Consider the following 22,829-nt stretch of genomic DNA (forward strand, 5'->3'; position numbering starts at 1 on the left):
AATTCTGGCTTTTGTTGCAATTGCTTTTGGTGTTTTAGTCATGAAGTCTTTGCCCAGGGAAGGGGCTAAATTTTAACCATCATATTCCATCCTGTTTTTAACTTTTTAAAATCTGTCCTCTTACAATGAGACTTCTCCTTTGAGTCAGACTATTTTAGAAAAAAATATATAGATTTTTCTCTTTCTTTGGGCTGGGTATTCCAAATCTGAAAATAAGCCTCAGATCAAACTCCATGCCCTCTTTCCCCATCCTGTAGTTTAGTCCTCAGACTGTTTCAGCTTCAATATTTAGGGGTGAATGATGAAGTGTTCATGGACTGTTCAATGGAGAGGTTTGAATGGAAGATGAGAACTGCTAGTGGCCTTTCTTGGCCATCTCTTTAGTGCCCCTACGTAATATTTAACTGCTCTGGATTAGTCTGTTCTTGCATTGCTATAAAGAAATACCTGAGGATGGGTAATTTATAAAGAGAAGAGGTTTAATTACTTCATGGTTCTCCAGGCTGTATAGGAAGCATGCCACTGGCATCTGCTTGGCATCTGGTGAGGGCCTCAGGGAGCTTATAATCACGGCAGAAGGTGAAGGGGCAGGTGGTGTGTCACATGGCAAGAGCAGGAACAAGAGAGAGGGAGGAGGTGCCACACACTTTTAAACAACCAGATCTTGTGTGAACTCAGAGTGAGAACTCACTCATCACTAAGGGGATGGCACTAGTTATTCATGAGGGATCCGCCCTCATGATCCCTCCTGCCAGGCCCCACCTCCAACGTTGGGGATTAGATTTCAACATGAGATTTGGAGGGAACAAATATCCAAGTTATATGATCTTCCATGGCAAAATATATGAGGAAACTAACGAAAGTGTTTTTGACTATGCAGAGGCAGGAATTGAAGTTCTTTCCCAGCTGTCTCAACTAACTGGCACGTTCTTTACGGCCCCCACTGGGATTGCAACTGGCTCTTACCAGCACAGTAAGTGTTATGGGAGCTGAGCGCCACGTCCAATAACACAAGCCAACTCCAGAATCACCAAAAGACAAAATCCAGTTAATAGTACTGGTATGGCTGATATCCATTACTCTCTTTCATTCCTCCCCTGAAGGAACGCTATTAGTTCCCAAACTAGGTAATCTCCTATCATTCAGTCATTTGCTTAGAACAGGATTATTTATTGCACATATTTGCCCCAAATCATCATTTTCAAAAACTGTTGAAAACATAATCTTTAGCAATTAAGCAAAGTTGCTGATCTAGAAAAGTAAGAAGTACAAAGAAAAACTTTTCTTAGTAACATATATATAGTCAATATGGTTTTATTTGGAAAAATAAATCGTAGCTACAAAGAGATGGCAAAGAGGCTGGCTTAGTTTCCATTACAGTAGCATTATCTGAGAGGAAAAACAATCAGAGAAAATACACCTGAAAGCAAACTTTCATTTAGATACTAAAGCTGCAAATTTAGATTAAAATGTAACACGGGCTGACCAACAACAGAACCAAATTGCTTTGTTACACCGACACCACTCATTTTCCTCTTTAAAACACCCTTGATTCCTATCAAGTAGGGCTGAGAGTGATGCAGAAACTATATAAATCATTGCTTCTCTACTCCTAAATGCCAAGGGCCTTTTAGAACTTGGGAAAGCTGGCACAACTGTGAAACTGGTAAGGGAAAATATTCTTTGTAGATATAACAAAAGTGCTTTGACCTAACATAGTTTTGAAGCAGAGGTCACTTGCTAATTTTAGTTAATATAGCAGCGTCACCAAACGGTAGCACATTTGGCTCTGCGGAGAGAGGAACTGGCCTAGCAGAGCACAGCAGGGTATGAACGCTGTTGCTGGTAATAGGGAACAGGTTTTCTTTCTTTTTTTTTTTTTGAGACAGAGTCTCACACTGTTGCCAGGCTGGAGTGCAGCGGCACGTTCTCGATCTAGGCTCACTGCAACCTCCGCCTCCTGGGTTCAGGCGATTCTCCTGCCTCAGCCTCCTGAGTAGCTGGGACTACAGGCATGTGCCACCACGCCCGACTAATTTTTGTATTTTTAGTAGAGACGGGGTTTCACCATGTTGGCCTGGATGGTCTTGATCTCCTGACCTTGTGATCCGCCCGCCTCAGCCTCCCAGTGTTGGGATTACAGGCGTGAGCCACCGCATCTGGCCGGGAACAGGTTTTCTTCTTTTTCTCCTCCTCTGCCTTCCTTTCCTCCTGTTCATCCTCCTTTTCCCTCTCTTGTTCTCATTCTCCGTATTTAAAAAAAAAAAAAAAAAAAAAAAAAAAGCATGTTGTGGCCGGGCGCAGTGGCTCACACCTGTAATCCCAGCACTTTGGGAGGCTGAAGCAGGCAGATCACCTGAGGTCAGGAGTTCGAGACCAGCCTGCCCAACATGGTGAAACCCCGTCTCTACTAAAAATACAAAAATAAGCTGGGCAGTAGTGGCACACATCTGTAATCCCAGCTACTCAGGAGGCTGAGGCACGAGAATTGCCTGAACCCGGGAGGCGAAGGTTGCAGTGAGCTGAGGTCGTGCCACCATACTCCAGACTGGGTGACAGAGCAAGACTGTCTCAAACAGAAACAAAAACATGTTGTGAACCTTTTCACATGTCTATCAGTAACAGTAGAGGAAACAAAGCAAATACACTATGTATCCATTCAGGACAGAAAATCAAATTTAACACACCACTGCATCATCCAGTAATTGTTTTTTAAGAAGAGAAACTTTCTTTAAGCACCTGCTACAGTCCTGTAGACAGATTTGTAGAGCGAGGTAGCAGTTTGACATAATTTAAGAAAGATAAGGATTTGGTGATGACAGGGTTGACTTCCATTGGCGATGACAGGGTTGACTTCCAATGGCCTGATGGGGAAGCCGTGTAGCGTGGGATTTCTTGTGTTTTCACTTTTAGACTGGAAAGATAAAGCAGTGCATTCTTCCTCAGATGACAGCTCAGCTTCCCAATGCACAATCCAGCAGCTGTTTTTTTTCTTTAAACATTGAATGGAATATGTCAGCCTCAGCTATCAAAGAGTAGACATGCATTTGAAATGATTCATTGAATCCTTTTCGAGTTTCTAATTTTACCTTTGAAAACAGAGGATGGGTGTTTGTCTTAGTCTTCTAATGAGAAACGATAATAAACTCAATACAAATGCAACTAAGATTTTGTTGTACTTTAAACAAGATGTAGAATTGTTTCATCTGAGCTCAAGCCTGCAATAATAACAGAAGAAAATCATGTCAGTTCTTAGTGATTGGCTGGGATCCCAATGGGGAAAGGCCCCCTCTTCCATCTACTTCTGCGAATCGAAGCTACAGACGTGGTCCAGCTTCACAGACTTCCTAGAAGAAACCTTGAAAACAGTAAGGAAGCAGCTGTATCCTTTCTTCAAGGAACTGCAGAAGAGCATCAGTGGCAGGATGATAGGTAAGCAGTCTTGCTACTTCTGTTGCAGGTTAATTATGAAGTTGCTTTCATATCCCGAGTAAATACAAGTTTAGTTATGGCGCAAGTAAAATTTTACTCTTGAACATCTCCAGTAAAATTTTATCTCCTAGGTTGCTCACACGGCCTTTCAAATATAACGAACAACCACTAACAACAAATATATTCAGGTTCAAAATGTTGAAGCTCGTTCTTATTTTAACATTTTACCACCTTATTAATTCTTGTTTGTCACTTATTTACCTAGACACAATTTGCTGTTTGCTAAGCCAGAGAGCTGTGCACTTTTCCCACTAGAATTTGCTCTGAAAGTTAAGCGCCTCTTATACCCCAGCACCTATTACATAAATTGTTCTACAATTAAAGTTCTATTTATTTTCTGTCTAAAATATATAATTCAGTGATGGGCTCCATGGGCCTTTGCTGAGCCTATTAGACGTGGTTGAATGAATGTTTCCATTCACACCCCAGCCCCATGACGGAATGAATGATCACAGCAGAGCCCTTTGAAAACAATTTACTTCCTCAACTTTGCATCTTTACCTAAATTAGTCCATTCTTTAAGTATATTTCACCATCTAGGTAAAGAGTTTTTCTTTTTCTCATCTGCAACTACTCATATCTATTCAATTTTTCCCCTACTACTTTCCGCCTGACTAAAACACCATATGAATCAAATCACCCTCTATCTATGCCTTTCTTCTTTTCCTCTGCCCAGCTCCATATTTAAGGTCTGTTTACATAGTTACCATCTACACAAGAGCTGTAACACGCAAGCGTGCAAGTAGATATCTGTCAATGTATGTCCTATATCTCTTTACATAAATGCTTCCAAAACAGGGATTTGCCTTCCTGCTTATTTGTACTACCTACTCTATCACATTTAGGAGGTGTTCAACCATTATTTTAAAATGGTTATGAAGTTGTAAACAGGGAGAAAGTATTTTTCATAGTTTTTTTTTTTTTTTTTGAGACAGAGTTTTGCTCTTGTCCCCAGGCTGGAGTGCAATGGTGTGATCTCAGCTCACTGCAACCTCTGCCTCCCAGTTCAAGGGATTCTCCTCCCTCAGCCTCCTGAGTAGCTGGGATTATAGGCATGCACCGCCATGCCTGGCCAATTTTTATTTTATTTTTATTTTTTAGATGGAGTCTTACTCTGTCACCCAGGCTGGGCCTCCCAAGTAGCTGGGATTACAGGTGTGCCTCACCACGCCCGGCTAATTTTTGCATTTTTAGTAGAGATGGGATTTCACCATGTTGGCCAGGCTGGTCTCAAACTCCTGACCTCAAGTGATCTGCCCATCTTGGCCTCCCAAAGTGCTAGGATTACAGGTGTGAGCCACCGTGCCCAGCCTATTTTTTGTATTTTTAGTAGAGACGGGGTTTCACCATGTTGGCCAGGTTGGTCTCGAACTCCTGACCTCAAGTGATAAGAGTATTTATTAAATAATATATGTAGGCAATGAGAAGAAAATGGAAAAACAATTTTTTAAATAACTGCATGGTGTTAAAAATATTTTAAAAATTAAAAGATGTCCGTGTATGTATGTTTGCATGTTATTTACTTTGGACTTTAAAATATTTATATATTTGAAGCCTGGTGTAGTGGCTCATGCCTGTAATCCCAGCAGTTTGGGAAGCCAAGGCAGGTGGATTGCTTGAGCTCAGGAGTTTGAGACCAGCCTGGGCAACATGGCAAAACACTGTCTCCACAGAAAAATACAAAAGTTAGCTGGGCCTGGTGACGTGTGCCTGTAATCCCAGCTACTTAGGAGGCTGAGGCACGAGAACTGCTTGAGCCAGGGAGGCAGAGGTTTCAGTGAGCTGAGATCGCGTCACTGCACTCCAGCCTGGGCAACAGAATGAGACCCTGTCTCAAAAAAAACAAAAAAACAAAAAAACAAAAAAACAAATGCCTACTTGAGCGCAGAGATAAAGGAGAATATAGAGGAACTCCTGGTAGGATCGAGAGTCTTACATTTAAATTTATTGAGCTCCTTTTCACATGCTCTCTCCTTATTGTCCAATTTATACATTTCATTCAATATCAGCTTTGCCGGAGTGGGCACTTTTTATAGACTAGACATTTAAATTACTTTGGTTCATTTTATATTTTATCATAGTAGAAATCCTCATTGCATAATAGAATTTTTACTGCTATTCTTTGCATTTTTATCCACTAAAAAAACAACTGTGGGTCCAGTACGGTGGCTCATGTCTGTAGTCCCAATGCTTTGGGAGGCTGAGGTGGGCAGATTGCTTGAGGCCAGGAGTTTGAGACCAGCCTGGGAAACACAGCAAGACCCCATCTCTACAAAAAGTTAAAAAGTTGGCTGGCTGCAGTGGCTCACGCCTGTAATCCCAGCACTTTGGGAGGCCAAGGCAGGAGGATCACTTGAGGTCAGGAGTTCAAGACCAGCCTGGCCAACATGGTGAAACCCGGTCTCTCCTAAAACTACAAAAAAAAAAAAAAAAAAAAAAATTTAGCTGGGCGTGGTGGCAGGCACCTGTAATCCTAGCTACTCAGGAGGCTGAGGAAGGAGAATTGCTTGAACCCAGGAGGCGGAGGTTGCAGTGAGCCCAGATTGCGCCACTGCATTCCAGCCTGGGTGACAAGAGCGAGACTCCATCTCAAAATAAATAAATAAATAAAAGTTAAAAAATTAAGCAGGCATGGTGGTGCATGCCTATAGTCCCAGTTACTTGAGAAGCTGAGGTGGGAGGATCACTTGGATCAAGGCTGCAGTGAGCTATGATTTTGCCACAGCACCCCAGCCTGGGCAACAGAGTAAGATTCTGTCTCAAAAAAAAAAAAAAAAAAAAGAAACTGTGAGGACTGAGTTGTTGTTTTTAAATCACATTTCTTACATAAATCAATTACAGGGCATGTGGCCTTGTATTTACAGGGCAGTTTATGTTTGACACCATGGGTATGACCAACATTCTAAACAACCAAGATACTGCGCAAGCTCTGGCAGATGGATTGATGGAGTTGTCAAAAGAAGATTCTGTAAGTGTTTCTTTGAAGAAAGTAAACTATGAAAACCAACATTTAAATAAATTCTGTTTGCAGTTATTATTAATTTTTTTGACCAGTTTATCCCTTTCAGAGCACAGTTCCTCAGAGAAATTACATCAGTTTATAAAAATAGCCACTAAGAGATTCTGGGCCCAAGATGTGTTAAGTACACAAAACAGACAAGTAGGAAAATCTTCTAGGTTATTTAAAGTTTATTACATTGTGCCCTGTTTTCTGTCTTGTGCTTAATTTCAGTCAGAAGTGACTTTTTTTTTTTTTTAATAAAACATGTTAGTGGCTTTATATTTCACATAAACTTTACTCAACAGAGAAACCAATTCCTAGTTTCAGGAGAAATCTGAGAAAGTGTGACCCAGATGTGAAAAGATGACGGGAAAAGGGGCTAGATGAGAGAGGAAGGGAAAGAGAACACAACGGAACGGAAAGAAGCAAATCAGTAATTCGGCTGGGGATGGGTGTAGGAGAAACCCAAAGAAACAATTTCATCAGACACAGATCCAAGGTTCTCTCTCATTAAGGTCAGTCTACACTTCAGAAAACAGTGAGAAGGAGCCAGTCCACATTTCAGAAAATAGTGAGGAGAGGCCAGTCTCCAGACAGCTCTCCCAGCCCCAAAGAGGACAGCATGGCTATAGGAAAATGCAATGTGGCCAGGCGTGGTGGCTTATGCCTGTAATCCCAGCACTTTGGGAGGCCGAGGCAGGCGGATCATTTGAGATCAGGAGTTGGAGACCAGCCTGGCCAACATGGTGAAACCCCGTCTCTACTAAAAATACAAAAACTAGCCGGGCATGGTGGCGGGCACCTGTAATCCCAGCTGCTCAGGGGGCTGAGGCCAGGGAATTGTTTGAACCCAGGAGGTGAAGGTTGCAGTGAGCTGGGATCGTGCCATTGCACTCCAGCCTGGGTGACAAAGCAAGACTCTGTCTCAAAAAAAGAAAAAGAAAAGAAAAGGCAACGTGCAGCTCTCCCTCTGAGGGGAGTCGGGAATAGAATGGAGATAGGGCTGCTGTTAACATATTCAATAATCTAAATTCTCTAGTTTCCAAGGAATTCTCAAGGAGAGTCTCAAATCTTTCTCTTCCACCATCATAATTCTGCTTTGTGGGTGAATTTAACATTGTCTCTGCACACATTCTCTCTCTCCTTATTATTGAGTATCTGCTCCTGTTTCAGTGTGGCTTCCTGGGTCTGCACCAGGCATTTCTGGGCGTAGCTGTCCTGCACTGGGTGGGGGCTGCGAAGCTGCATTAGCTGTAGTTTGTCTCCTGTGAAGTCTCAGCTCTGCAGTGAGGCTCAGGCAGCCCAATGACGAAAGGCCTTTGGCGAGCCTTGCTGATAAAATGAGCAGGGATATTCACAGAGGTGCCCCCTCACTGTCTGCCAAAACACTGAAGGATTACTCAGCATGCTTGGTGTCAGTTCAGTGTACTTATTTCCACCTAATTATTTAAAAATAACCATGTATGATATAATTTGGATGGTGCTCAAACCTATAGCCTGAGGGGAACCAAATTTGAGAGCCCCAGCATGTTTTCCCAGCAATTCTGCTACTGCAGCCTCTCTCCCAGGCCTTCTTCCTCCCCCTGAAAGACAACAAGATCCTTCCTGTCCCGTTTCCTCATTTGGCCAAGGGGTTGGTGTGGGCCACTTTGGTTCCAAAGATCTTGAGAGACCCTCCCATAAAATTTTGGTGTCTTAACTGGATTGTGACAAATTGTTGAGAACCAAGAGTACATATGGTAACTGGAATATGAGATGAACTAGAAAGTCTCATGTACTGACTTGAATTGAGCACTAGTCACTCTGTTTTCTGGACATGTCAATTAATTAGGTAGAAAGCTGAAATCCCTGCTAAAAAGTGTGCTCTCTCTTCTGCTGCAGTATTGACATCTGTATTTCAGAAGAATGTTTTAAATGGGCATTTTTCTTGCGGGGGGGTTGGGCATTCTTTAGGACAAACCTCTGGAATTTTTGTCGTATTTTCTGCTGAAGAAATGTGGCAAAAAGATCAAAGATGTTGAAGGAAATGTTATTCCAACAAAATGTGACCCAAAGACAACATTCAGTTTATTCATGAAGGTAAAGTTGCTGCTGAATTTTTATGCCATTGCTTTTCTGTAGAGTTAGGCACATGTGATAAAGAAATTCATAAATCATTATATGAGCTCTACTGGGAAGCTTTAACTTGTCATTTCTCCAAAGAATTTTATTTTCATGAAGTATTACTAAAATAGGGTGTTTTGTAGTTTCATAATATGAGTAACATTTAAGCCGCTTAAAAGCATAAACTGCAACATGTTAACTTGAGTAACACTATTTGGTTGTGGGGAGAAAGGTAGAAATTTGCATTTTGCTTTGACATTTATGAGCCCTGAGAGAACTTAAGGGGAATTTTTTTTTGAGGGAGGTGAAACTAAGAATAGTTCTTTTTTTTCTTAGTTGAGATTCAAATTCATTAAAGAAAAAAATGGGTTTAAAGCGAGTTCTGGCTGGGCGCGGTGGCTCACGCTTGCAATCCCAGCACTTTGGGAGGCCCAGGCGGGCAGATCATTTGAGGTCAGGAGTTTGAGACCAGCCTGGCCAACATGGTGAAACCCCGTCTCTACTAAAAATACAAAAATTAGCTGGGCATCGTGGCATGCCTATAATCCCAGCTACTCAGGAGGCTGAGGCAGGAGAATCACTTGAACCCAGGGGGGTTCAGTGAGCCAAGGTTTGCTTGAACCCGGGGAGGTTCAGTGAGCAGAGGTTGCAGTGAGCCAAGATCGCACCACTTTACTCCACCCTGGGTGACAGAGTGAGACTCTGTCGTAAATAAATAAAACTAGTTCATCAGGCCAAAAAGAATAATTTTGCCAGTACTATATTAGGAATCCAAGCATTCTTGTTTACATGAAATAACCAGGATTCAAGAAATGCTGAGAATTACATTGTCGTTCACATAACTGATTTCTATGTAGGGGAAAATACTGTTTTAGAACCATTTTATGTCCATAGGAAAGTCACCTGTCTTTGATGTTTGAAGGCGTAGGATGGCAGTCCCTAACATAATCTCACCATGGAGGGCTGCTAGGAGTAAGAGACTTGTGAGCACCTCTAGCAGGCAAATCATTTGTTGCCCTATTAACCTGATATTCTGGAAGTATTTGTTAATGCTTCTTTAAAGGACAGTGCAGGGCAGGGCAGGAGCAGACATAGAGAACTGCTGGAGGCAGCATTCCCTCTGCCTGCTGCCCCAAATGAACTCAGCAGCACACGGCCTGCCGTCATTAAGACCCATCCTTGGCCAGGCGCAGTGGCTCACGTCTGTAATCCCAGCCCTTTGGGAGGCAGAGGTGGGTGGATCACTTGAGGCCAGGAATTTGAGACCAGCCTGGCCAACATGGTGAGACCCCGTCTCTACTAAAAATACTAAAATTAGCCAGGCATGGTGGGGCACACCTGTAGTTCCAGCTACTTGGGAGGCTGAGGCAGGAGAATCGCTGAACCAGGGAGGTAGAGGTTGTAGTGAGCCAAGATCGCGCCATTGCACTCCAGCCTGGGCCATAGAGTGAGACCCTATCTCAAAAACAAACAAACAAAAAAAAACAAAACAACAACAACAAAAAACCCTACCCTTCTGCTGTTACCATAGCACAACCCTTACTTTAATCCTCCCCTCCCCGACAAAGTGCCCAAGTGGCTTATTCTTCCCAAACACAAGCAACTCCCTGAGACAGGAGTCTTTATTTTATTTTTTAATTTTTTTTTTTGAGATGGGGCCTCGCTCTGTCACCCCATGCTGGGGTACAGTGGCACAATTATAGCTCACCATAGCCTTGAACTCCTGGGCTGAAGCCATCCTCCTGTCTCAGCCTCCCAATGTGCTGGGATTACAGGCCTGAGCCACCACGCCTGGCCATCCCAAGAGGAGTCTAAATGCCTTTCCAGGGATATCTAAGCCCTTTACAGGTTGAAGCCCTGCTTGCTGGCTGCCCTGCCCCCAAATCGGTATTTTCAGGAAACTTCTCAGGCAGAGGGCAATTCCTCATCTTTTTAGTTCCATTCTCTAAATATTTGCAGGAGCTAACCAGCTAACCACATGCTAGACCTTCTGCTAAATCCTGGGACTAGACAGCAAAGTAAGACAGTTCCTGCCTTTGTGGAGGATGAGGCTGATACACAAATAGGTGGTGCAGCATGATTAGCACCTGTTAACAGAACGCACGGGCTGGGATGGGAACCCCAGGGTGGGAACGCCAGATGGGCATTTAGTCCAGACTCCTCTTTCTGCTTCTCAGAGGCTGCTGCTTTCATTTCATTATGCCAGCCACCATCTCTTTGAAATTCTTGGAGATTATTCTCCCAAAAGGGTGGACATAGTCTCCATCCATCCTTTAGCCTATGAAAACCTGAAAAACAGCACCCAGGCCTCTAATACCACTCATTTTCCCTTGGTTCACTAAAGGGAATGATCAACATATAACCACATTACACAGGTTCCAAATTCTTCCAAAGTCCTTTCAACATCTGCTGATTCCTGACTCCCTGGAATCCTTATTGGATTCTTTCACCCACCTTTATTCCTAAGGGTGAAGCTATTACCTCGAAACCCAGGCATACAGATCCCAGAAAACCCCCTCTTTGGAGCAAGAAAGCAATAAGGACCAAACTAAGGTGCTTCCTCCTCTGAAGTGCCACTCTCACATGTGAAAGACCTAACTCTTGGTGAGAACCATTTCTGGGCTCATTGAAACCTAAGGGAATGATCACTTGGAGCAGTTCCTCTGAGGCACTTTCTCCTCTAGTTCCTCTGCCAAATAAAATTCAAAATGAATGAAGTCTTTTCAACTGGCTATTGATCCGAACAGCTCATTATGTTCATAAAATAATGCATGAAATTTGGGCTGAAAGTTCCTCATTGCTGGAAATCAGGCCCTCTATTGCTACATTGTCTGCCTGTAATAAAACTGGAAAAATGCAAAACTCCTTAATGCCTGGAAATTTGATTAAAAAAAATCGAATTAGAAAAAAATACATATTAGATTCTCATTTGATTCTCTACTATTTAACACTAAAGAGCTTGGGCACAAAGCCCACAGAACAAATGCGGAGACCTCTAGGAGGAAGAACCACAGCTAAACGTCAGTGTTGCATTAGGATAAAAATAGAAAAGCTGATTTTCCTTACATTAGGGTTTATTTTTAAAACTGGATATTCATTCAGAAGCCTCAGGAGACAAAGGAGGGGAAAATGAAAGCTTCTCTGAGATAATTGCTTTAAAGACCCTTCCAGCCGGGAGCAGCGGCTCACGCCTGTAATCCCGGCACTTTGGGAGGCCGAGGTGGGTGGATCACCTGAGGTCAGGAGTTTGAGACCAGTCTGGCCAACAAGGTGAAACCCCGTCTCTACTAAAAATACAAAAATTAGCTGGGCCTGGTGGTGGGCGCCTGTAATCCCAGCTACTCGGGAGTCTGAGGCAGGAGAATCCCTTGAACTTGGGAGGCAGAGGTTGCAGTGAGCCAAGATTGCAGCACTGCACTCCAGCCTGGGCGACAAGAGCAAGACTTTGTCTCAAAAAAATAAACAAAACAAAAAAAACAAACCCTCCCAGAGAGGCTTGTGTAATACGGATTATCTGTCAAATCCAGGACTGTGTGTGTGTGTGTGTGTGTGTGTGTGTGTGTGTGTGTGTGTCCATCCATGTATCCATCTATCCATCCACCTACCTACCTACCTATCATCCTGCTGCCCAATCATTATTTGCTCCTGGTTTTTGTCTGCCTATAATGTTTACACTGATACCATGCAACCATGGTGATGGCTGCCCGCCAGAATTATAGTTGTTCCTGAACTCTACCTGTCATTTTCACAACTATTTCTGGCCCCTTATCCAGGCAGCTGAGTGTTTGCTGGCAGAAGCATCAACAATGACTAGAATGTCTCTGGAAAATAGTGTCTGCCCATGCTCCATCCTAGAGAAAAATTCCTAACATGTTCTTTGTGAGCTTTTTTTTAATGGTCTTCCTTATATGTCCCGCAGAGCCAAGGCAAAGACCCACCAACCCAGAATGATAGTTGTCTTATAAATGTGCAAAGTTTCTGCCATGTTACTTCCTCTGAATTCATCCATAAAAACTAAGTAAAAGATAGCATCGGAATCTAAAATTAAGCTGTAAAAATTCTGGCAATTAAACATATAATATAAAATGAGTGAACTTGCCAATTTTAGGTTCAAACAAAATTACTATGCCAAATCAATGTCCTATCCACAAAGAAAAAATTATATTTAAAAAAGTAAGTTGCTGCTGAGCCGGAATGTGAAACAAAGCCCAACTGTAAGCGAGCAGGTTCTAAAATAGCCAAGGTGGTCTGGGGGGGTCCATGATGACACCTGAATTTTAATGCATAAATTTTCATGTGAGCCTGTACAGTCAGGTGATCTCCCAGAGAAAGATGGCTCCCTTATCTGTGAGATCCACAATACAATTGTGTGCTGTTTGGGTTATCTTAATCTTGGCCCAACCTGAGAGTTTTGTTTTTGTTTTTTGAGACAGTCTCACTCCATCATCCACGCTGGAGTGCAAGATACTGGCTGGGCACAGTGGCTCACACCTGTAATCCCATCACTTTGGGATCCCAAGGCAGGAGGAACACTTGAATTTGAGACCAGCCTGGGCAACATAGTGAGACCTTGTCTCTAAAAAAAAATGAACAAAATTAGCCAGGCATGGTGGCACATGCCTGTAGTCCCAGCTACTTGGGAGGTTGAGGTGGGAGATCAATTGAGCTTGGGAGGTCGAGGCTGCAGTGAGCAAATATTGCACCACTGCACTCCAGCATGGGTGAAAGAGTGAGACCCTGTCTCAAAACAAAACAAAAACAAGTAGATCTCCTCCCTGGCTCCAAGCCATAAGTATGGATACATGCCAGGCTGGTATGAGACAGCCACAAGTGCAGAGGACAAAAGAAATCATTAGAAGACTCCCTGGAGCAGACAGGAAGCACTCAGGCTCAGGTGGGACCTCCTGCCATCTGGGACTGAGCTAGCTGGCTGCAGGTTTGCAGACCAGGGTTCTTCTGCAGAGGCTCAGGCTGCCAGAGCAATGTGGCATCTCCAAAATAAAAATTCGCTTTTGCCTCAGTAGAGTAAGGTAAAAGGAGCCTTGGTTACAAATTGAAGTTATTCTTCCAGCCTCATCCCTGGACATCCAAGGGTTGCCATTGGTAGTTTTGTCTTTGATGAGGAAGGCAGCAATAACGACCATTGACCATCATCATCCCTCAACATAAACACAGGACCACTGCTGTGTTGCTAGGGTAGACCCTGGGGTACTGCAGGCAGCAGGGGTGGGGGTGGAGGGCTTTAAAAAAATGTGCTAAGTTTGAGAGAGGCCACAGCAAGAATAGTTAACAAGGTAAAGTGAAGAAAGAATAAGCCTTATTTAAATGTGCAGGTCTAGAAAGGTTATGTGAACTGTTTATGACACATTTTCACTTGGTGGTGAAAAAAGGAGTGAGTTTTGTGAGCTTTTCCTTCTGGATCTTAAAAATAAAAATAACCTATTTGCCCTCAACTGAGAAGGAACAGAGCAGAGCTGAGGCAAAAACCTGTTACCTGGCCAGACTTGGTGGCTCATGCCTGTAATCCCAGCACTTTGGGAGGCCAAGGCGGGCAGATTACCTGAGGTCAGGAGTTCCAGACCAGCCTGGCCAACATGGTGAAACCCCATCTCTACTAAAAATACAAAAATTAGTGGGGCGTGGTAGTGGGCCCTGTAAGCCTGCTACTCAGGAGGCTGAGGCAGGAGAATCGCTTGAACCTGGGAGGCGGAGGTTGCAGTGAGCCGAGATTGTGCCATTGCACTCCAGCCTGGGCGAGAGTGAGACTCCATCTCAAGAAAAAGAAAAAAAAAAAAAGAAGTCTGTTACCCAGGAATGTGTGTGAGTCTTTAAGCCTGGGAGGAGCCCCAGCCCAGCATCACTTCCCTGGCTCCCAAGGAAGAGGGAGCTACGCTGGATTTAGTTCTCAAGTATTATGTAGTTCAAAAGAAGCAAAGGCTATTTTTAAAAAACATAAAATTGAATGTAAGAGTGGCATCCCATTTGCAAGCACTTAACTCATTGTGTGTAGGGAACACTGTGGTTGGGGCTGAAGGCAGAGGCTTCTGAGGGCCTCCTGCGGGCACAGTACTGAGTTTTCAGAGATGTCAAGACCTGCCTCCAATAACCAAGTTTCCATTCAATCTTCAGGAAAGAAATGTTGTAGAAGACAATTCTTGGGACACAAAGTCCAGGCTCAGCAAAAATGATTTAAATTTTGAAGCACTGATTAATCTGGTAAGCTATTATATAATGTAACTTTACCATTGGTTTTGCTCCTGATAGTGAAATTTCAGCCTTTATTCTGGTTAGTTCTTCATTTTCCTTGAAAATTTCCCTTTGGGGGATTAAAAAAAAAAAACCTCAAAAATTATTAGAGAGAATTCAGCTGGCAGACTTTTTTTTCAAATAAGCCCCAGACTGAAAAGAAGTTGAGCCAGAAGGATAGCAGTGTAACATCTTGGAGCAAAACCAATCTGTATGTTACTCCCTGACTTTCCTTTATGGTACTAGGATGTCTTTTAAAGAAATGGCACATGGACAAAGGCTCACAGTTTCTAATTAATCTACCAACTTACAGTCTGACTTCAAAAGTTGAATCTAATGAACACAATGTCTAGGGCTCCGTCTTTCTGTGTCAAGGGTAAAGTGTGGAGGAAGCTGCAGCCTCAGCAGGGGCCGGTCTCGTCCTGTGTAACCCACGGCATGGGCACACTGTTTTGTTTTCTTCAACACACAAACACACTTATTATCACCTTTCATTCTCAGAATCCTATAAAGGACACATCCCTAGCCACATTTTATAGATAAAGAACTAGAGTTAAGAAAAGTTACATGGGGGAAAAAAGTCAAATGACTTCCCTAAGGCCAGACAATTGGGCAAGAAAAATCTTAAGTCCTGCAGCCCTGAGCTCAGACCTGGGGCTCTTTCCCAGCCCCAGACACCCTGGCTGCAGACAGTGCAGGCCGTGGAGCCCCAGGACATGGATGCCCACTTGCCCCAAACCCATCCCTAGGAACACCCAGGAGGAGCATGTTCCATAGAGCAGTGGATATGAGGGTATCTCATCTGACTATTAGTAATAATACCTCATAGTGGTTTCAAGATAACAACACAAGGTTTGACAATGAAAACCTTAGTTCAAAATGATTATAAATGTTGGATAACTCCAATATGTAAAAATATATACATACAGAAATACACATATAATATTAAAAAAATAATATGGACTGTAAGCCAACTGCCAAGTAGGATGCAGATGTATTTTTTACCTTATTAGATATGTCTAAATAGGTATTCTAGACAGACCATGTGTTTGGAAAATAAACAAGAAGAGTTTGGCAGCTCATGTTTGTAATCCCAGCACTTTCGGAGGCCAAGGCAGGTGCATCGCTTAAGCAGAGGAGTTTGAGACCAGCCTGGGCAACATAGAAAAACCCTGTCTCTACAAAAAAATTACAAAAATTAGCCTGTTGTGGTGGCTACTCTGGTGGCTGAGGCAGGAGGATTGCTTGAGCCCGGGAGGTCGAGGCTGCAGTGAGCCATGAGTGCACTACTGCACTTCAGCCTGGGTGACAGAGGGAGACCCTGTCTCAAAATAAAAAATGTAAAAAAAGAAGAGTGTGTTTATAATATTTCAAATACAGTGAGTTCTCTCATTTTTCTCTTAAGTTTTTTTACATTATAATTCCAGTTAATGAAATTATGGTTAACTCATCTTGGTGAAGATCACATAGCATTACACATTTTTTCATTTTAAACAAGGCACTTATTTAAACAACAAGGTGTTTGACTTGAAGGAAAAACTATCTGGTAATCATTTTTATCAACTAATGGATCCTCACTTAAAGACAGATTGCCCTACATATAAGAGGTATGTACGAAAACGTTATAAAATGTGCCCTTTGTGTTACAATGATAAATGAAAAACATGAGAATTCTCCAATTGAACAAGGTATGCAAGGATTTAGATACATATATATATACACACACACACACACACACACACACATACATATATACATATATTGCTGTTGTTAAAACAATGAGAGCAAGATAACAGATTGGAATATAAAGATAACTGCTGAATGAGCATGCCACGAAGGGAGAAAGGAGGTCCTTTTGTTTTTGTTTTTGTTTTTTGAGATGGAGTCTCGCTCTGTTGCCCAGGCTGGAGTGCGGTGGCATGACCTCGGCTCACTGCAACCTCTGCCTCCCAGGTTCCAGTGATTCTACTGCCTCAGCCTCCTGAGTAGCTGGGATTACAGGCATGTGCTACCACACCCAGCTAATTTTTGTATTTTTAGTAGAGACAGAGTTTTGCCATGTTGGTCAGGCTGGTCTCGAACTCCTGAGCTCAGGTGATCCACCCGCCTCAGCCTCCCAAGGTGCTGGGATTACAGGCATGAGCCACCGCACGTGGCCAAGGAGGTCTTTTCACAGAAGCATTTTTCCCCTTCTCATCTCCATTTGATGTTGATGGTATACCATTAGCCACGAATACATTAGCCATACCATTAGCCACTAATTTTTTTAAAAATGCTTGTGCATATTCATCAGTTACCTTATGTACAATAAAGGAATGGGGAAGGAAATGAAAGAATAGAGCAAACTATACTGTAATAGTTAGGATGTAGTGGAACCAGATTGCAGTTTTTTAGTTGAGAATGCAGTCTTGGTCTGTAAGAATAGCCTCTGGCGTAAAATAGCAAGTTCTCTTTTTACTGGACCCCTCCTGCCTGCTGCTGAAACACATCAATTGTATCTTTAACCTCCACTTCCAACTCTGCAGGTGTGTCTGTTTCATTGATTGGCCATCTGACAAATTGGAATCTGATCCGCCTCATTGACAAGCCTTGCTATTCACAATAGGCTTTCATTAGTTTACTAAGTGGTGTATGCCTGTTAATCTTAAATTGCACCAAGGAACCATCCTGCCCACCACCCTAAAATTAATATGAGCAGTTCTGACCCTTCCTTGAGCTTTCTGTTCACCATGCTGAGTGCTGGAGTCACCTCAGGTCCGCAAGCAGCACAAGTGGCAGAAGCAGTATTGTCATATTTTATTGGGGGCAGTGTGGGGTATACTTAGGGCTGGAGGGAAAATAATAATTCTAGGCTAAAATTGAAGGACATTATGTTTTTGAAATTTAGATATTATAAATTTTCTGGTATAAAGATGCTCATTTTATAGCTTTTGAAATATGCAAATAAAAGAAAAAAATTATCTAGTACCAGCAATAAAAATTAATTTCTCTCTCCATATAAACATAGCACACACAACATCAGGGTATGGAATTTCTTTAGGCCAGTGTATGATTTTCACCTCTGCATTAAAAAATAAAACAAGAGGCTGGGCAAGGTGGCTCATGCCTGTAATCCCAGCACTTTGGGAGGCTGAGGTGGGTGGATCACAAGGTCAAGAGATCGAGAACATTCTGGCCAACATGGTGAAACCCCGTCTCTACCAAAAACACAAAAATTAGCTGGGCATGGTGGCATGCACCTGTAGTCCCAGCTACTCGGGAGGCTGAGGCAGGAGAATTGCTTGAACCCAGGAGGCGGAGGTTGCAGTGAGCTGAGATCACACCACTGCACTCCAGCCTGGAAAAGAGAGTAAGACTCCATATCAAAAGAAAAAAATAAAATAAAATAAATAAATACACAAAACAACAGTTGGAAACATAACATAGCACATCTGGCAACCTGGCTAGCCAGGAGAGATGGGCTCATAGCTCCAAGTCTATCCTTCATACTGAAGTTAGATCCTTAATACTGAAAGAAGAGCATATGCTTCAGATTTTTCATATGTCAGCTGGGGAAGCAAATTAGTTAATAATGAAAAGGTGTCTTCACCTGTTCATGCTGCTGCAGTAGAATACCTGAGACTGGGTAATTTGCAAAGAACAGAAATTCTTTATGGAGGCTGGGAAGTCTAAGATCAAGATGCTAACATCTGTCAAGGGCCTTCTCTTGGAGTGCTCACATGGTGGAAGGCAAGAGAGGACCAACTCCCTCTGCCAAGCCCCTTTCTAAGGGCACCTGATCCCATTCATGAAGGAGGAGTCCTCATGACCCAGCCATGTTTTCATGACTCCACTTCTTAATACTGTCACATTGGCTACACCTGAATTTTGGAGGGGACACATTCAAACTGTAGCAGAGGGCTAGCTCATTTCAGTTCTTCTGTTTGCAAGATAATCAATAAAACACTACTTGGAAAAAGAAATAGGAAAACAAACAAGAGTAGACAAGCCAAAGTCTTCCTCACTAGACTGTAACCTCCATGAAGACAGGACTCTGTCTTGTTCTCATCATTACATGGCCAGCACCAGCATAAGACACCTAATATGGATTTGGATGGACAGATGGATAAAAATAAGTTTCAAACTGCCTTCCTTTAGATCCAAGATTAAAAGTCCCTTCTCTACTTGGCCATCAGGCTGGCCCCATATGAGGGGCTCTTTGATGATACTAGGGACAAGTGATGGACAGCGGGGTCCTCCGTAGCCCCCGTGAAGTCCCCTTCAACCTGAACAGCACAAACCAGCAAGGGGGGTCTCCGTGTAGCTGCCTGACTGCTCAGCACTTCTACTTCTCCATCACTGACTTGAGTTCTTAACACTTCTCTACAGGAGAGAATACTCCAGAAGGACTCAGCAGAAAAGCGAGCTAGAGTTGTCAGAGAACTCTTACAGAGTGAGAGAAAATACGTGCAGATACTGGAAATTGTGAGAGATGTTTATGTCGCACCACTGAAAGCAGCATTGTCATCAAACAGAGCGATTCTGAGTGCTGCCAATATCCAGATCATTTTCTGTGACATTCTACAGATTTTAAGTCTCAACAGGTAAACCCTGAATATGTATTTTTTTTAATATTCATTGTGCACTGAGAAGAGCCCATGCTTTATTGTTTCAAAAGCAGTATGGAGGTGCAATGATGCTCTGACCCTCTTAGGGACCCTGATTATAGCAGCGAGATCCTCATCACATTACCTACCGGGCTGCAACCAGTAGTGATTCCCAAGGACACCCCTTCCCCCGTTCATAGCCATGGTGCAAGGAGTGGTGTTCAGGACCTAGGCATTTTGTAACCCAGTGATCCCCAACCTTTTTGGCACCAGGAACCAGTTTCATGGAAGACAATATTTACACAGAGCAGGGGTGGGGGGAATGGTTTCAGGATGATTCAAGTGCATTACAGTTATTGTGCACTTTATTTCTATTATATTATAATATATAATAAAATAATTATACAACTCACCATAATGTAAACCAGTGGGAGCCCTGAGCTTGTTTTCCTGCAACTAGATGGTCCCGTCTTGGGATGATGGGAGACAAGGACAGATCATCAGGCATTAGATTCTCATAAGGAGCATGCAACCTAGATCCTTCAAATGTGCAGTTCACCATAGTGTTTGCACTCCTATGAGAATCTAATGCCACTGCTGATCTGGAGCTCAGGTAGTAATGCAAGCAACAGGGAGCGGTTGTAAATATCAGTGAAGCTTCACTCACTCAACCCCCACTCACCTCCTGCTATGCAGCCTGGTTCCTAACAGGCCACAGACTGGTACCTATCCATGGCCTGGGGGTTGGGAACCCTTGCTGTAACCAATAGACTGTCCATGCAAAAGCTAGCAGGAAGGAGGAGAGTCATACGCTCCTTCCTAATCAGCAATGTTCAGTTAAGCAATGGGAAAAAACCAGAAGGATTTAATGGGATTAAGCCACCAGGACACTTAGCTTAGAAAGCCCAAGGCTGAGGGTCAGTTTAATAACAACATATTTTCAAGTGCATAACATGAGAGAGAAAAGTGATCATTTCTGCCTGTGGTAAAAGGAGGCAACCTGAGTATGTCCTTCCCTGAAGGTAACTCTCTAGGTAACTTGGAACAAGTTCTTTCCTGTCAGTGGGCCCCAGCTCCTACAGTGAAGAGGTTGAACTGGGCCTCTTTCACTGTTCAAAGCCTCTGATGGATGAATGAGGGATTTTCTTAGAGCTCTGGGGAACTGAGCTAAGCAGAGGCTATGGCATTCAGCTGTTGAAGACAGTGGAGCACTCTCCTCTACAAACTGTAAGAACTTTCACCCATCTGCCTATCTGGAGGCAAGAGACTAGGACATTAGGCAGCAGCTGTATTGTGGCCATTGTGTGGTTCCTTCACCTCAAGGAACTGAGGTGAAGAGGTGGGATTCCACCCCGGCCAACCTACTCCTTCACGTCCCAGTTCCCTTTCCTGTCAAATCTCCACTTCTCTGTGTTAGGAAGAAATGACTTGACCAAAACCCTACCGTAAAGGACTAGGGTGAAAATGCCCATGCTGATGACAATGGATATTTGGGTTTGTAAGTTATCACAAGTGAATATTTCATGCTTATGCTCTTCTCATACCACAGGCAGTTTCTAGATAACCTGAGAGACAGACTGCAGGAATGGGGCCCAGCTCACTGTGTGGGAGAAATAGTCACGAAGTTTGGAAGCCAGTTAAACACATATACCAATTTCTTCAACAATTACCCTGTCATTCTGAAAACTATTGAGAAGGTAAATGAGTTTCAATTCCATCATTCTATAAGACCTGAGCTAGAAAGGAAGTTACGTGTGGAACCCGAAAGACCAGCGTTAATAAGAAAGGCTTCTCTGCTCTTAGCTCCCAGCTGTCTTCCCATACTGTGTGATCTCTGAGGACAGGAACCCTGACTTAGGGGCTAGCACAATATTTGACACCCAGCATTGCCAGGAACTGGTTCTTAAACTGAACTCATCCTCATGCAAATGGCCAGGCTTTCACCTGCCCCAGATACCCTCAGCTTACAGGAAAATGCTCCACAGTTGAGCTTGGAATCCACTCTGCTACTACAATCCTGTGTATCCTTGACAAGTTCACTCTCTCATGTAGAAAATAAATTAATCATCCACATCTTTCTTGGAAGAACAATCAATTTATGAAATGTCACTATCAAGTAAGGAATGTCTTGGTCTTACATTTCCTAGAGAGTAAATTATTAACAGTTTTCCCTGTTGCAATTTCTGGCATTATTTAATCTGAGCAGGAATATCCAATTCCCTCATGTACCACTTGCTGCTCTTGTGGGGATACCTTCTTATGGGAATAACATCCCTCTTTCTTCCCTCCTCAATTGGTATCGAAAGCCTAGAAAAGGCTACCTTGTCACATGGCAGCACACTTCTGCCAGAGTCCACTGTGACCACTCGTCTTCACTGAGGCCCTGCAGGAAAGGCCTGTGGGCTGGGAGGCCTCTGGAGGGCTCCGGCCCTTGGACAGCTTCCTTTGTAGTATTCCTTCTACCCCACCCAGGGAGTCTAGTCCCTGCTGGACAACTTGATGATTCAAAAGTTACATAAATAAGGTAGTTTCATAGAACCGACCTTGGAGACAAGGATTGGAGCAAAGTATCACATGGTATCAGGAACACACTGGTGCCTAAATTTTTTTAGCTATAGATAATGATGCCTAGTTCACTAGCCCAGTGTGTGCACACAAGTAAGTACTTAGCTTAAATGTTAGTTATTTGGTTGTGGGGTTTGTTTTGAGACAGGGTCTCCCTCTGTCACCTAGGCTGGAGTGCAGTGGCATGATTACAGCTCACTGCAGCCTCGACTTCCCCAGGCTCAGGTGATCCTCCCACCTCAGCCTACCAAGTATCTAGGACTACAGGCATGTGCCACCACACCTGGCTAATTTTTTTGTATTTTTTGTAGAGACGGAGTTTCACCATGTTGTCCAGGCTGGTCTTAAACTCCTGGGCTCAAGCAATCTGCCCAACTCTGTCTCCCAAAGTGCTGGGATTACAGGTGTGGGCCACCATGCCAGCCAATGTTAGCTATTAATATGATTGAAATCCATGAATATTTCACTTGGTCTTAGCCGAAAGTCCAGTAATGAAATCAGTGAATATTTGATTTCTGTAAGTTAGCATTGCTGACATCTTTCAGGCATGGAAAGGGAGGTAACTTTACGGGTGCTCTAATAGTGATAAATGAATACATTTTAAAACAGATATTAAGGCTCAGTGCGGTGGCTCACACCTGTAATCCCAGCACTTTGAGAGGCCTAGGCAGGTGGATCATCTGAGGTCAGGAGTTCGAGACCAGCCTGGCCAACATGGTGAAACCCCGTCTCTACTAAAAATACAAAAATTAGCCAGGCATGGTGGCGGGCACCTGTAATCCTAGCTACTTGGGAGGCTGAGGCAGGAGAATCGCTTGAACCTGGGAGGCAGAGGT

The 22,829-nt window shown here is 43.3% G+C and overlaps 1 protein-coding gene across 8 annotated transcripts in view, besides 1 other annotated feature; it reads left to right on the forward strand.

Moving 5' to 3' along the window:
• Positions 1 to 22,829, forward strand: part of ECT2L (epithelial cell transforming 2 like) — a 107,984-nt gene that overhangs the window by 65,660 nt on the left and 19,495 nt on the right. For 4 of the 8 annotated variants that reach the window (XM_017010828.2, XM_006715472.4, XM_011535795.3 and 1 more), the window contains 7 exons: positions 881 to 973; positions 3,250 to 3,432; positions 6,357 to 6,460; positions 8,447 to 8,572; positions 14,726 to 14,812; positions 19,211 to 19,425; positions 20,978 to 21,125. In XM_017010828.2, the coding sequence (XP_016866317.1) occupies positions 881 to 973; positions 3,250 to 3,432; positions 6,357 to 6,460; positions 8,447 to 8,572; positions 14,726 to 14,812; positions 19,211 to 19,425; positions 20,978 to 21,125 (956 nt within the window). Of the gene's footprint in view, positions 1 to 880; positions 974 to 3,249; positions 3,433 to 6,356; positions 6,461 to 8,446; positions 8,573 to 14,725; positions 14,853 to 19,210; positions 19,426 to 20,977; positions 21,126 to 22,829 lie in introns of those variants that run through there. The other 4 variants (NM_001077706.3, NM_001195037.2, XM_017010829.2 and 1 more) reach the window with 3 other exon arrangements.
• Positions 20,977 to 21,176: an enhancer, noted in NCBI's record as "active region_25164". NCBI's record gives its function as "activates an Ori minimal core promoter by ATAC-STARR-seq in GM12878 lymphoblastoid cells {active_cell/tissue: GM12878}" and the evidence as "EXISTENCE:reporter gene assay evidence [ECO:0000049][PMID:35858748]".

Source organism: Homo sapiens, chromosome 6, assembly GCF_000001405.40.
Source record: "Homo sapiens chromosome 6, GRCh38.p14 Primary Assembly".
Taxonomy (NCBI): Eukaryota; Metazoa; Chordata; class Mammalia; order Primates; family Hominidae; genus Homo; species Homo sapiens.